Below are 13590 nucleotides of genomic sequence, written 5' to 3' on the forward strand. Positions count from 1 at the left end.
CTTTAAGTAGCCTACTTCAGTGGTTAGTTGTACAGTGAAAAATTCCTCCCCACATACAGACAAATTTTCTCTGGGTCTGTGTGAAGCCTATTATGTTTCTGTCTTCTATGGAAATGAAGGACATCTGCTTCTTTTCTTCTTGAGTAGTACTTATAACATAAAATAGTTAATGGTCTCCTCACTCTTCTTTCTCTCGCACCTCTTCCTAACCATTGAAAGTAAACTTGAAGAGAATGATAATTACCTAGGCACTTAAGTTAGAGGCATTGGAAAGATTAACTTCTTCTCTTGCTTTTGTAGTAATTGTTTTGAATACTTTTGTTTTTTTAGGAAGAAATTTCCTAGGTCTAATATAGCAGGCATATGACCATTTATTAACCTCTTATATGACCAGGTAATTTGGAACAGAGAGAATAATGAACACCATTCCTACTCTCCAGAGTAGTTTATGATCTAATTTGTCAGGGCATAATAAATAAGTATGGGACAGTGAGAGAGTGATTTCATGGTAGCACATATTTGTGTCAGAACGTGGTAGGCCCTGGACTGTGCCTTGATCTTATCAAAGTGAGACCTCTCTAAATTCCTCAAGAGTAGTGTTATCTAGGGAACACTGTGTAGAAAAGGGCTATCTAGGGAGGGATTTTAATGGAGGCATATGATTTCGGGATGAGAGCATTTTTCCATGAACAGAAAATGGTATCACCAAAGGCAAAGATGTAGGAATGAGCAAGCTGTATTCAGAGTATAGGGGAGCAGGCCAGATAAGCTGGAGCAGAAGGTCCAATTTGAGAACAAGATGAGCTCAGCTAGATTAAGTTAGATTATAGGGGGCCTTTTAGATTCCTTTGTCCCTATGGTACTGACCTATTGCTAAATGCACAATAATTGTCAGATGTGAATACACATTATAATTCACTTTTTTGGTACCTTATTTTTCAGGTATTTATTGATCAATAACGTGTCTGAATTATGGATTATTCTCACCAATCAGTGTTTGTTTTTTATCTTTCTTATACAAAATAAATATTTTATCTTTGAAAACAAAGCTTTCATACCTTAAGAAAACCCCATACATAGATCATTTATTCATTCATAGGACTAATGTTAACTGAGTGTCCATCATGGACCAAGCACCAATCTAGATGTGGATGATATAGCATTGGATACGTAAGCCCATACTCTCAGGTAATCTATAGTCTAATGCATGGGTGTCCAATCTTTTGACTTCCCTGGGCCACATTGGAAGAATAAGAATTGTCTTAGGTCACACATGAAATACACTAACACTAATGATAGCTGATGAGCCAAAAAAATTGCAAAAAAAAAATCATTGTTTTAAGAAAGTTTACAAATTTGAGTTAGGCTGTATTCAAAGCCATCCTGTGCCACATGCAGCCTGTGGCTTGAGGGTTGGACAAGCTTGATCTAATGGGTTAAGCTAGAGTAAACCCCTACATTCTCACAATTCTTTAGTTCCAAAGAACATTCAACATGGCATGCAATGAATATGAGTAAAATAAGCTAAATAAGCAACAAACATGTTTTGGTGACCTATATACCAGGAACTCTTTGGGATGCCGCAGGGAATCCAGAGGGTAATAGGGTCTTTAATGTCAATGAGAAGATAATCTCCTGGTGCAAGAGGCCACAAACAAAATGACTTAAAACCTAAGCCAGACCTACAAGAATATTACAGGAAAGTGCTGTGGTTTAGAGGAGAAGGAGAGCACTTGATGGTAGGACTGAGAAGACCCTAGGGGAACAGGTTAGGGAGCTTTGGTAGGATCTGAATAGTTACCAATACACAGAAGAAAAGACAGACACAAAATGTGGGCAAAGTGGTGTAGAAATTGTCTTACTTGAATCAGAATCTTGCATAGGCTAATAAAAATTAACTTTGACTCTGTCAGCAGGAAAAAGTATGCAAGTTCTGATGATCACAGAGAGTACAAGACTTTCTCTGTTCCTTATCCATATGCTTTTTTCCCTTTGGGGACCTGGTTGACTGGTTCGGACATCCATCTCCCTTTCCCTGTCCCCCATTCCAAAGGAGTTTTTTCACTAAATTTAGCAACAGGAAGAAAGAAGTAAAATCATCCAGGTGCCATCCTTAGGGTGACTGCCATTCACTTAAGAACATGTTTCTCCTCAAAGTGGAAATGCAGAAGCAGGCAAAGGTAAGGAAGTACTGGGGAAGAGCATGGCCTGGTCTCTGCAATCTGTCGTAGTGATTTCCAGTCTCTCCCACCCACTGCCCCATCTGAGAACAATGGGAGGATTGACTTGCACTCCCCTCTTACTTCCCTCCCTCTGTGAGCCCACAGCCAGCAACCCAGTCCTCCTGTCTTGCCCTCGCTAGCTCCTCCCTTGGCCATTTTATTCTGGCATAGACTGAACAGGCAAATATTTCTTCATCAATTAGCAGCTGTTGAAAAGGAATGAGCTCCTGAAGGGCCTCTGAGGACCAAGAAAGCATCCAAAGAAAGCAAACCTGTAGTGGTTTCCATGGAGTTGTGCAGCCTGGAGGTAGAAGGGGATAACTTTATTTCGGAAACAATTTAATTACCCTAGTAGCTTGTTTACACACTACGCAGAGTAACTAACACAATTGTTTCTAATTCTTGGAGAACAATAGATGAATTTCACTGGGCTGACAGTGGGACAGAGTGAGAACAAGAATAGGAAGAAAATCCTCTCTCACACATACCTGTGCCCTCCTTACTTTCATGGAAGTGAGAAACAGCCTTTCAGTGGCCACCATAGTTCTAACATCAAGGAGCTAGAATATTTTAATATTTAGAGATGATCAGTAGATTATATGCTTTTAAATATTCTATTTTCATTTTAAAAGCATGAGCATATTTTAGAGGATGCTCTAAGTTTTCTTTTTATTTTGAGATTATTAATAGATCTTATGTTTAAGTATTTTAACCTTTATTGTAACATATAGCACAGAACAAAGAGCCACATAGAACAAGTGTAAGGACCACAAAAGTCATCAAAGAAAACTTTGCCAGTCACCCCAGAAGTTCCTCCATACGTCTCATCAGTCACAGCCCCCACCCTCCCTCCAAAGTGACTTTTCATTGTAATCAATTCTTTGCATTTCTTGATAGTTTTTCATGCCCAAGATTGGATCCTTGGACATCAGTTTCACTTGTTCATTTTCTTTTAAACGTGATGTCTTTTAAAGTCCCTTTCAGTGTGATTCCACATATCCTTCTGTGTTCCTGCAAGTTGGCCTCTGTGTCTGGAGACTGGACTCAGGTTTCATCCTTGAGGCAAGATAATAGGTAGGATCAGTGGGGAGATTTCACAAAGGCTCTGGTGCATCTGTTTAGTCCTTCCTCCATTCCCATGTGCCTCTTCCACATAGACACCAGTCACACAAAGAACTCTTAGCTGTTTGTGGCATCTCTGGCATAATCCTGTTTTGGGAATCAAGGAGTTACCTTGACACCTGTCTCATGGTAAATGTTTTCCTTGGGTTTCTGGCCTCAATAAGTAATTGCTTTGTTTGTCTCTGTGTGGATTTGGGAGGATCCAAAAATTAGGCTGCCATCTCTCACACATCTTCCTAGAATTCTGTGAAGTATGACTCTCTTTTAATCATATTGAATGCATTTTGAAGGTATTGATTCCTCAATTATTGATGAGAAAAACACTTGACACAAATCACTTTACTGGCAGCTTTTGAAGAACACACCCTGTATAGTGAAAGATGCTTATCTGGTTGTTCATTATTCCACAGTTAAATTGCTGCCAGAACTGTTGGTAGCACTGCATTCATTCTTAGATATATATAGAAAATCACTTGTTTAATACTCCAGTGTGGATCTATAAGCACTCCCACCCCTGAAACCATTCACATGTGGATAGGAAAAATATGAAGAACTGGCCAGGCACAGTGGCTCACACCTGTAATCCCAACACTTTAGGAGGCCAAGGCAGGCAGATCACTTGAGGCCAGGAGTTTGAGACTATCCTGGGCAACATGGTGAAACCCCCATCTCTACAGAAAAATACAAAAATTAGCCAGGTGTAGTGGCAGGTACCTGGAATGCCAGCTACTTGGGAGGCTGAGGCAGGAGAATCACTTGAAACGGGAGGCAGATATTGCAGTGAGCTGAGGTCGCAGCACTGCACTCCAGTCTGGGAGACAGAGGGAGACTCCAAAAAACAAAACTTCTGTCTAGATAGACTTTATTGAAAGCTTACACCTGAGCACGGCTTTTCTTTTTTTTTCCTCCTACCTGACTGAGTGCAGCCTTCCCACTCTTTGTTACCAATATCTAAATGTTCTTTCCCACTTATTCAGAGCCTGTGATATCCTCTGGTTTCACATGCCTGGTACACGGTTTTCCAGGCCTTGATCTGCCTCTGACGCTTTCACCCTCAGCTTGTTGATGTGAGAGCTGAACTCATGCCCATTTCTTTTTGGAGGTGGCCTTTTCTTCACCCTACAGTGGACTGGTTGGTTTCTGTTGTCATCCATGTCCTAGCATTGTGTATATCACAATGTGGTCTGATGACACTGTCACATGTCATCTAAAATTTCCAAAAGTATGAGTTAAAGAATGTATAATTTCCCACCACATAGATGAACTAAAATATGTTTAGTTGTGCATCTAATACCTGTAGTTTACTTTCAGTTTTTCCGTTAAGAAACACAACGAAGTTTGAAATTACTTTTTTCCTTAAACCAGGAAAGAAAGAAAGAAAACAAAAGAAAAACAGCTGTAACACCTCTGAGTTTAGGTGCATAATTTATTGTAAACACTTTATTTTGAGAGGGGCAGTTGCAGTTTTGGGGGATCACTGATACCTCTTTCCTCAAGGGGCTAACTTTCCTGGGGAACTCCCTGCTTCCAGTAAAAGCTCCAATTCTAAATATTGATTCCAGAAAATAAGAGGCCACCTCTGTGAGGCCAGAATCCCCACTGGTCTTGTCACCTTTACAGTCAGCAATTCCTCTAAGACCTCTTTATTTCTGGTGGGATAATATTTCCACTTGAACACCTCTTTCCAGTGCCAGCACAGGGCAATACTGTGTCAGCAGTGTTCTGGAGGACTCTGAGTTGTTCAGATGTTGTTACTCTGACAGGGCATTGAAAAGGAATGCTGTCATAATAGAGAGCATGAGAAATCAAACAAAATGGAGTTCTCCTCATGCTTAAAATGTAGAGTCTAAAACCTAATGAATGGTCTGGACCCAGACCTACCTAATTAACAAATCTGCACTTCCGGCACATGTACCCTGCAACTTAAAAAATAAAGTACAACTGGGGGAAAAAAACAGCTCTGTTCTGTGTTGAGATGGGTAATTTCCTCATCTCCAAAGGATGCTGCATCAGCAGGGGAACTCACTGGGAGTTTATTCCCAGCTTGGAGTTAGGATTCACTGCCTGAGACGAGAAACAAGACCTGCTGGGTAGTAAAGCTGGAGGGAGAAGTGATCAGTGGGAAGCTCACAAACTGGTAAACAGTGGCCCCAGGGGAGGGTCAAACAATCAGCAACCAATTTGTCTGAATGGCCCGTTAATCAGTCCTAGCTGGATCAGACAGCTGAGTTCTAAGAGGGGCCACAGTGCCATGTAGAATCACTGAAACTGCTTTTAAGCTTAGCACTCTGAGCCAATCCCCAGTCTTAATGAGGTGCTCTTCCTGTGTGCTTCCAGTGCCCCTTATATTTCCTATCATAGCACAGATGCCACTGGATTTTGTTTACTTATCCTTCCACAAGCTTAGAAGCTCTCAAAAATACTCTTTTGTCTTGCTTTGGAGCCCCCATACTTGTAGGTCTTAACCTTGGCTGCATATCAAAACTACCTACAGCCCTTTTTTAAAAAAAATGTAGCTGCTGGAGCTCCACTTCCAAAATTCTAATGTAATTGTCCTGGCATGGAGCCCACCCTTGTTTTAAAGTTCCTCAGGTGTTTCCAGTATACAGAGAGGGTGAGGAATCATCCTAACCAAGTTTTAATGCTTGAAATGCAGGTGCCCAGTGAATGTTTGATGGATGATGACTGAGTCAGTCCTGGATTCAGTCAACCAGGATGCAGCTAGAAGACAGCAGGATCTGGTCAAACCTGTATTGCTCGATCGCTTAAATGCTTTGCGAGCAATATGCCATGAAGGCAAACTTCATAACATTTTCTCTCCGTATAAACATCATTCATGGACATTAGGCCAGTGCTACTTGCAACTATGGATGACAAGCCTTTGCAAACAGGGAAAATAAACTAGAGCCAAGTGTTATACCCTGGGCAGAGCACTGTCTGCCTCTGCCTTCTTTAAGAAGCCAAAGGCATCCGTGTGTAAAACCATTATATGACATTGCTAGGCTACTCCTGTTTCCCACTTCTGGTGAGAAAGACTTTGCAAAATACAACAAATCTGTCTTTGGCTATTGGTTTGTTATTGTTATTAAAGTATAAAAGAAAAGTACAATTAGTGAGCAAACATTCTATTACTTGTCGTTGTAGCAAGTCATCTTAGATTCTATATTACATTTCTCTGAAGTTGAATCAATATTTTGCTTTTCAGCACAGATTTCTAGCAAGGGCCTAAGACTTGGAATCTTATTGAAAATGACAGAATATGATATGACAAACTTTGCAAAGCTTTGCAAGATTTCACAAAACAAATTTATAACTTGAAGGAATTTATTTTAAAACAAATTTAAGATGCATGTGTTCCATATTTAATCAGTAGATAACTTCAAAGGTCATGATGATCCTATAAATCATTTGTGGGTTTCTTAGGGGAACCTAGGGAGTCAAACTTACTTTGTCATTTAGTTAGCCTTAATTTTTAAAAAGAAAGAAACTTGAGCTATGCAAGTGCATTACACAAACCCAGAGTTTCAGAGCAAGTACGCATTAGAGATGTTAACCACCAGTGTTTGACGATTTGCGTGCGGTGAACTAAGTGCTTTACATTGTTCAATCCTCGTAGTACCATAAAAGGAAAAAACTATTTCATTTTTCCAATGAGGAACTAAGAGTTAAAGAGATTAAGGAATTGCTCAAAGTCATGCTGAGTTAGGAGCTAAATCTCAGTCTTGAGCATCTGACCCTACAGCCTGTGGTGTCAAACCCTCTGCTGTGCTCTCTTTCTACTGGGACCAAATTGAGTTGAAGGTGCTGCGTTAGCCATAGGAATTACATGGATGAATGTGGCACATACTCTGTCCTTAGAGAGCTTACAATTTACCGAATTGGAAATATATGTATTTTGTATGCAAATGACTATAATCAAAATAGAAAATACTAAGCTTTAAATGAATTATACACAGTCATGGTTTATAAAGAGACTATTTCCTGTGGAGAAATCAGGGAAGGTTTTGTGGGAAAAAAAATTGGCATTTTCATCAGCTTCAAATCTTAAATTTAGTTTTTTAAAACTTTTTAAAAAATTATGTAATAAATTTGACTTAAATGAGTTGGTATCTAGTTCTATGTCAAATCCTGTGTTATGAATGCAAGTAATGGTTGGTAGTGACAGATGTATGATACCAAATAGTTGAAGAGTAGAATGAATTTTAAGAATGCGAGAGAATCTTGGTTTGCCAGTGAGAACCAAGCCACAGATCACAGGGATATACTAGGCCACAGAAATTACTAGAAGCCAGTATTTTAACTTCAGAACACTGTTTCTTATCTCTGTTTCTCCATGCTTGTTTGTCCTTTTTCAGAGTCAGTTCAATACATTCTTTAGAAAGAAAAAATATTATTAATCCTATCTTCTACCTGGGAGTTCCTCAGCACAGTTTGAATTTAGGAGATTGTTAGAGTGACCGTTCTTGTAGAGAATACAGTCTTTGGAAATTGAGATCTATTTTTTATTTTTTAAATGTTTCAGACAAGGTATTAGTCCATTCTCACACTGCTATAAAGAACTACCTGAGACCATGAGGTAATTTATGAAGAAAAGAGGGTTAATTGACTCAGTTATGCAGGCTGTACATGAAGCATGGCTGGGAGACCTCAGGAAACTTAGAATTATGGCAAAAGGCAGAGGGGAAGCAAGAGCATCTTTCCATGGCAGACAGGAGAGACAAAGGGAAGGGGGAGGTGCTACACACTTTTAAACAAGCAGATCTCTTGAGAACCCATTCACTGTCACAAGAAAGGCAAGGGGGAAATTTGCTCCCATGATCCAATCACCTCCCACCCGTTCCCTCCCCCAACACTGGGGATTACAATTCAACATAAGATTTGGGTGGGGACACAGAACCAAACCATATCAGACAAACAGTAGTTTTTATTTTTGTGTGTTTATTTCATAACTTCTCCTCAAAAGGAACATGCTCTCCTTGCATTTATTTGAAAAAACAAAAAGCCAGTTTCTCTCCACTAAACAGATGAAGTTCAAGATTTTTAGAAGACAATAGCATTACGGGATAAGTCAGAAAACTGAAATCATGTCTATGTATTCCAGGTCTTTTTCCAAAAAAAAACACTTATATTTAAGTTTACTATAAACATTAAATGAGTTGTTAAAACTAATGTAACAGAAATTAAATAGATCATCTTACTCAAATAAAAACAAAAAGACGTAAAGGAATTAACATTTATAAGCACCAAATATGTGTTAGACTGTAATTTCAACCAGTGTCACCTCATTTTGTCCTCATGATCTTGTGAAGGGAGTGTGACTATTTCCAAAGATAATAAAACATGAATCTCAGGAATGCTAAAATGATTGCCCAGAGCACAGGTATGTGGTACAGCCAGAATTCAAATGCAAATCTTTCAGATCACAAAAATATCTTCCAGTAGAGTTATTTATGTATATATTTTATTCACTTCTCTGAAGGTACAGGATGTGATGCACTCATTTTTATTTTTGCTTTCTCGTTTATATTTCTCATCACCTAGCAAAGTGGCAGGTTTAATGTGTTAACAAACAAATGAAGAAATCATGTTTGTTTTTAGTCTATATTTTTTATATATTTCAGATTCCAGATTCTTATTCAGCACTGTGTCACGATAAAAAACAAAATACACTAAGGAAGAAAAGGAAACACTGAGGGTTTATTGCATTATACCCTCTGTTTATTGTATCTGCTGGGAAATGAAACCATATATATTCTCTATTTCTCTTCTGACAAATGTTATTCATTCTGTTCATTACAGTTCCTTATCTTGCTATACTGTCCTTGCTGAATTATGTTAGATTAGACCAATTATTGATTTAAAAGATCAGAGCAGTACATTACCACCCTCTTGCCTTTTCTGTAGGATAGTTAAATTTGTGTATGCCTGCTTCTTGCAGAGTGGCTGCTTCAAAGTGATGGTGAGAGTTACATTTTACTATTTCAACATTAGCTTCTAATGTTTCTGAAGTCTCTGGTATTAAATGAGTTCTCAGCCAAATGTTCTGAACCCTGGGAACTACTGCTGTTAATTGTGGTCATCTCTTGGATGTGTTTGCATTGTTGTCCATAACTAAGCTGATTTCTTTTCATTTCATTTTTTAATGGCTTTTTACTGCTGCTGCTTGAGTATTTTCCTGGGTGAGCATTCTTGATTGATTACTGGAATGAAGTCAGTTCTGTCTTCTGCTGTCACCCAGGTACCAATTATTGGATCACTGTGGACACTGCTCCATCTACCCATTGATGTGCATTACCAATTTTCCTCTCAACACTGTTCAGTGACTCACTCACATGCTCACAAATTCAGCAATTTGTTCATGATAGCTGCTTGGCGGGGTGGATAATATCCTGGTCAAAATGACTGAGCCACATCAGTGATGTATGTATTCTCCAGACAGGGAAACCACAGGGTTTTAAATCAATGAACTGAACTTGTCATCTATATTTTCCTGCTCTAGTTTTCTGGTTCTTTTTTTATATGTTTAAACATTTTAATTAAGTGCTAGATGTTTGTTAAACAATTCAGATAATATGAGAGTGTATGATAGCAAAGCTAATACACTCAGCCAACACCATCTGTGTGTATTGTTTATTCTCCCAGACCTTCAATCATACATGTACAAATACTTCTTTCTTCCCCCTAAAATTGAGTAATATGCATGTAATTGTCCAGTCTCATGCTGCTAATAAAGACATATCCAAGACTGGGTAATTTCTAAAGAAAAAAGGTTTAATTGACTTACAGTTCAGCATGGCTGGGGAGGCCTCAGGAAACTTACAATCATGGCAGAAAGGGAAGAAAACGTGCTTCTTCACATGGTGACAGGAAAGAGAAATGCTGAGCAAAGGGGAAAAAGCTCCTTATAAAACCATCAGATCTCATGATAACTCACTCACTGTCATGAGAAGAGCATGGGGGAAGTGCCCCATGATTCAATTACTTCCTACCAGGTCCCTCCAATGACATGGGGAGATTATGGGAACCGCAATTCAAGATGAGATTTGGGTGGGGACACAGCCAAACCATATCAGTGCATATTGTAGTTTTTTTTTAAATAGATCTTATCTTATATACAAAAGAGTTCCTTCACTGTTTAGTGTGCATTCACAGTATGTCATATGATATATGATGATGTACTCACTAGTTTACTACTTATAGACATATCGGTTGTCTTTAGCTTTTTTTTTGAGATGGAGTCTTGCTCTGTCGCCCAGGCAGGAGCACAGTGGCGCGATCTCGGCTCACTTCAGCCTCCGCCTTCCGGGTTCAGCAATTCTCCTGTCTCCGCCTCCCTAGTATCTGGAATTACAGGCACACACCAACATGCCTAGCTAATTTTTTGTATTTTTAGTAGAGGCAGGGTTTCACGATGTTGTCCAGGCTGGTCTCAAACTGATGACCTCAAGTGATCCACCCACCTCTAAAAATGTTAGTCATATGTGTCTTTGTGTATTTGTGCAAGTGTTTCTGTAAGGCAGGTTTATAGAAATTGCTAGGTAAACAGGGATGAATAATATTTTAATAACCACCAAAATAATAGCTAGCAACTAGACTTTACATATGCCAGGTATTTTAAGTTCTTTTCAAGTGGTAACTCATTTAATCTTTACAACAATTGAAATAGGTAAGAACTATTACTCCTATTTTACAGATGTGAGATTTGAGATTAAGTAACTTACTCAAGGTCATCTAGCTGATACTTAGCGAAGCCTGGATTCAAACCCAGGCAGTATGGCCCAGAGACCATCACGTACCTTTTACATACACTGCATCACTATTAGGTTTCATCTCCAAAATTTGTGTTTCAATGACCAGTTTTTGTTTTTGTATCAGTTATTCCATCAATCTGACCAATAGTAGTAAGTATTAAAAAAATTTTAGACAACTATACTTTTTTAAATTTAGCATTAAAACTGTTTTAATCTTGGCATAACTTCGTGATGTAATAGGTTTGATCTGTAGAAAATCACAGGGATACACGATGAGGTGGCATATTAAGTGACAAAATGGATGGTATGGGGAGAATACAGTAGCTACAAGTGGCCATCAGTAGTGTTGGTCAGAGTGATTGGGGAAGCTATGTGGAGGTGGCAGAGCTGGGAAGTGGAGTAGTATTTGCATATGTGCAAGGAAGGATTGTAAAAAGGGATATTGCTGAGTGTGATAAGAGGTAAATTTGTTTACAATTGATAGAACAATTTCTAAAGCTTAGGATTGAATTTAAAATTTCCACTCAAATCAGCAAGAGCCCTTGGGTTTAGAAGGGGTTAACAGGATGCAATTGGTTAACAGGATGCAATCTGAAAAAACACATATAGCTGGCTAAAAAAAAGGTCACTGGAGACTCCCAATTTTCAGCAAAATTATGCTTGAAGAGAAAAGTAAGCAGAGATGGACAGTATATTCAAGAAATCTGATTAAGATAACACCTAAAGAAGAGAAGGTCCATCCATAGGTTGGCTGAGTTCTTATTTCTGAAATAATCTCTGGAGGAACTTTTAAGAATCCTGAAAGATTCAACTATTTTAAACTCTTCTGGAAAAGTATATGCATATACTCCTTTGAAACCGCTATGATTGTAAGTAAGTAAGTTATAAATCCCTCTTTCTTGATAACTGTTATGCTTTAGCCAGTATTAAATCAAGCTCTCTTAATACACGTTTTGAAATGTTCCAACTACATTTATTTTATTTTTATTTAAAAAGTAACATGGAATTGGAAAACAATAGAAAATACAGAGTATAAAGATATTACTCAAAAAATTAAGCTTGTGTTATATTTTTTGTAATTTAATCTTATTTTAAATGCTTCATCAGGCTTACACACAATTATGTATCCATTTACATGACCTTGCAACATAAGTATTTTACATGATATTAACTCTGAACTGTCAAGTTTACAACTGTTGCACTGATCACATGGATATCTCATTTAATGATTTACTCAGCAATTACAAAATAAGTTTATTTCTCATTTTCAACCAGAATTTTATAAAACACCATCTGTCACATATATTTTGAATAGTTTCATAATTGAAATTACTAAACTCAAATATGCAGAAAGCATGTAATACCCAAGTTGCTTTCCACCTGGAATCATTGTTTTAATTTCTCTTCCCATCATCAATAGTGGACTCGAGTAGTTATATTTTTCACAAAATCTCTAGCATTAGGTGGTTGTATTTGTTTAAAATATATGCTAATGTGATAAGCAATGCTAGATACCTTAAAGGTGTGGAAAGGTTACACATTTTCCACATGAACCAGTTAAATTTCTTTTTGTGAATTGTCTATTTCTTTCTTCATTTAGAGTTTATTTATTTATATGACTTCTTTATACATTAGGGATAGTAACCGTCTCTCTGTAACATCTGTTACAAAACATTTTCCCAGTTGACAGATGGATTTACAAATGTTTTTTGTTTTTAAGTTTGTGATTTGATTTCAAGTTCCAAAAGATTTTCCACATACAGATATCAAATGATTCCTGTTTAACTTTTTCCCCAATAGTAAAAACTCCTCCTAGAACATTCAATTGAATAATCGTGCTCTTTCTCATTGACTCCATTCATTTACTCTAATTTCGCACAGTCTTATTTTGTTTGCTTTAAAAGGCAATTTTTAATGACTTACATGTGTTATTGTTGCAAACGAAGTGGATATTTTTGAAAAATCACATTTTAAAGCTACCCTCCAAATATGAATGAGGTTTGAATAGGAATGAGCATTGAATTTTATCACACCTTATTAGACTTTGAGATATTTATTAGGGTAATAGTTGAAACCAATCTTTTCTTGTTACTATAAGTTTTAATAAGCTTTATTTGGTCAAAGGCTTGCATTTTGTCAGTATTTCACTTAGAATTTTTATACTTATATGAATTAATTCAGTGGGGTCCTAATTTTGTGCTTGCCATGTCACTATTATTTAGAGGTTATATTCACATAAAATTAGGAGATTATTATTTGTCTCTCAAGAACAAGAGACTTCTAAACAATTTTAGAAGCAGACAACATAATTACCTACATAGAAAGCATAAATAGATCTATATAAAAACAATTAGAAGATTTACTCACTACAAAATCAATAGCTTTTTTACATAATAGCCAATTAGTATATAAAATTAAAATATCCTGTTTAAAATAATAAAACAGTATACATACAAATGTAGCAAAATATGTATAAAACCTCCAAAAGATTTTGA

General features: G+C 37.4%; 1 protein-coding gene across 7 annotated transcripts in view, besides 2 other annotated features; it reads left to right on the plus strand.

Moving 5' to 3' along the window:
- UNC13C (unc-13 homolog C) overlaps positions 1–13590 on the plus strand; it is a 795839-nt gene that overhangs the window by 762079 nt on the left and 20170 nt on the right. The gene's annotated exons all lie outside the window — the stretch shown is intronic.
- Positions 5238–5815: an enhancer, noted in NCBI's record as "OCT4-NANOG hESC enhancer chr15:54897116-54897693 (GRCh37/hg19 assembly coordinates)". NCBI's record gives its function as "activates a minimal SCP1, AML or CMV promoter by ChIP-STARR-seq in naive and primed H9 embryonic stem cells {active_cell/tissue: H9 hESC(naive and primed)}" and the evidence as "EXISTENCE:reporter gene assay evidence [ECO:0000049][PMID:30033119]".
- Positions 5974–6143: an enhancer, noted in NCBI's record as "experimental_40093 CRE fragment used in MPRA reporter constructs". NCBI's record gives its function as "activates a minimal promoter by MPRAs in K562 erythroleukemia cells, with activity observed for both the introgressed and non-introgressed 15:54897937 variant alleles {active_cell/tissue: K562}" and the evidence as "EXISTENCE:reporter gene assay evidence [ECO:0000049][PMID:34662402]".

Source organism: Homo sapiens, chromosome 15 (genome assembly GCF_000001405.40).
Source record: "Homo sapiens chromosome 15, GRCh38.p14 Primary Assembly".
In the NCBI taxonomy this organism is placed as follows: domain Eukaryota; kingdom Metazoa; phylum Chordata; class Mammalia; order Primates; family Hominidae; genus Homo; species Homo sapiens.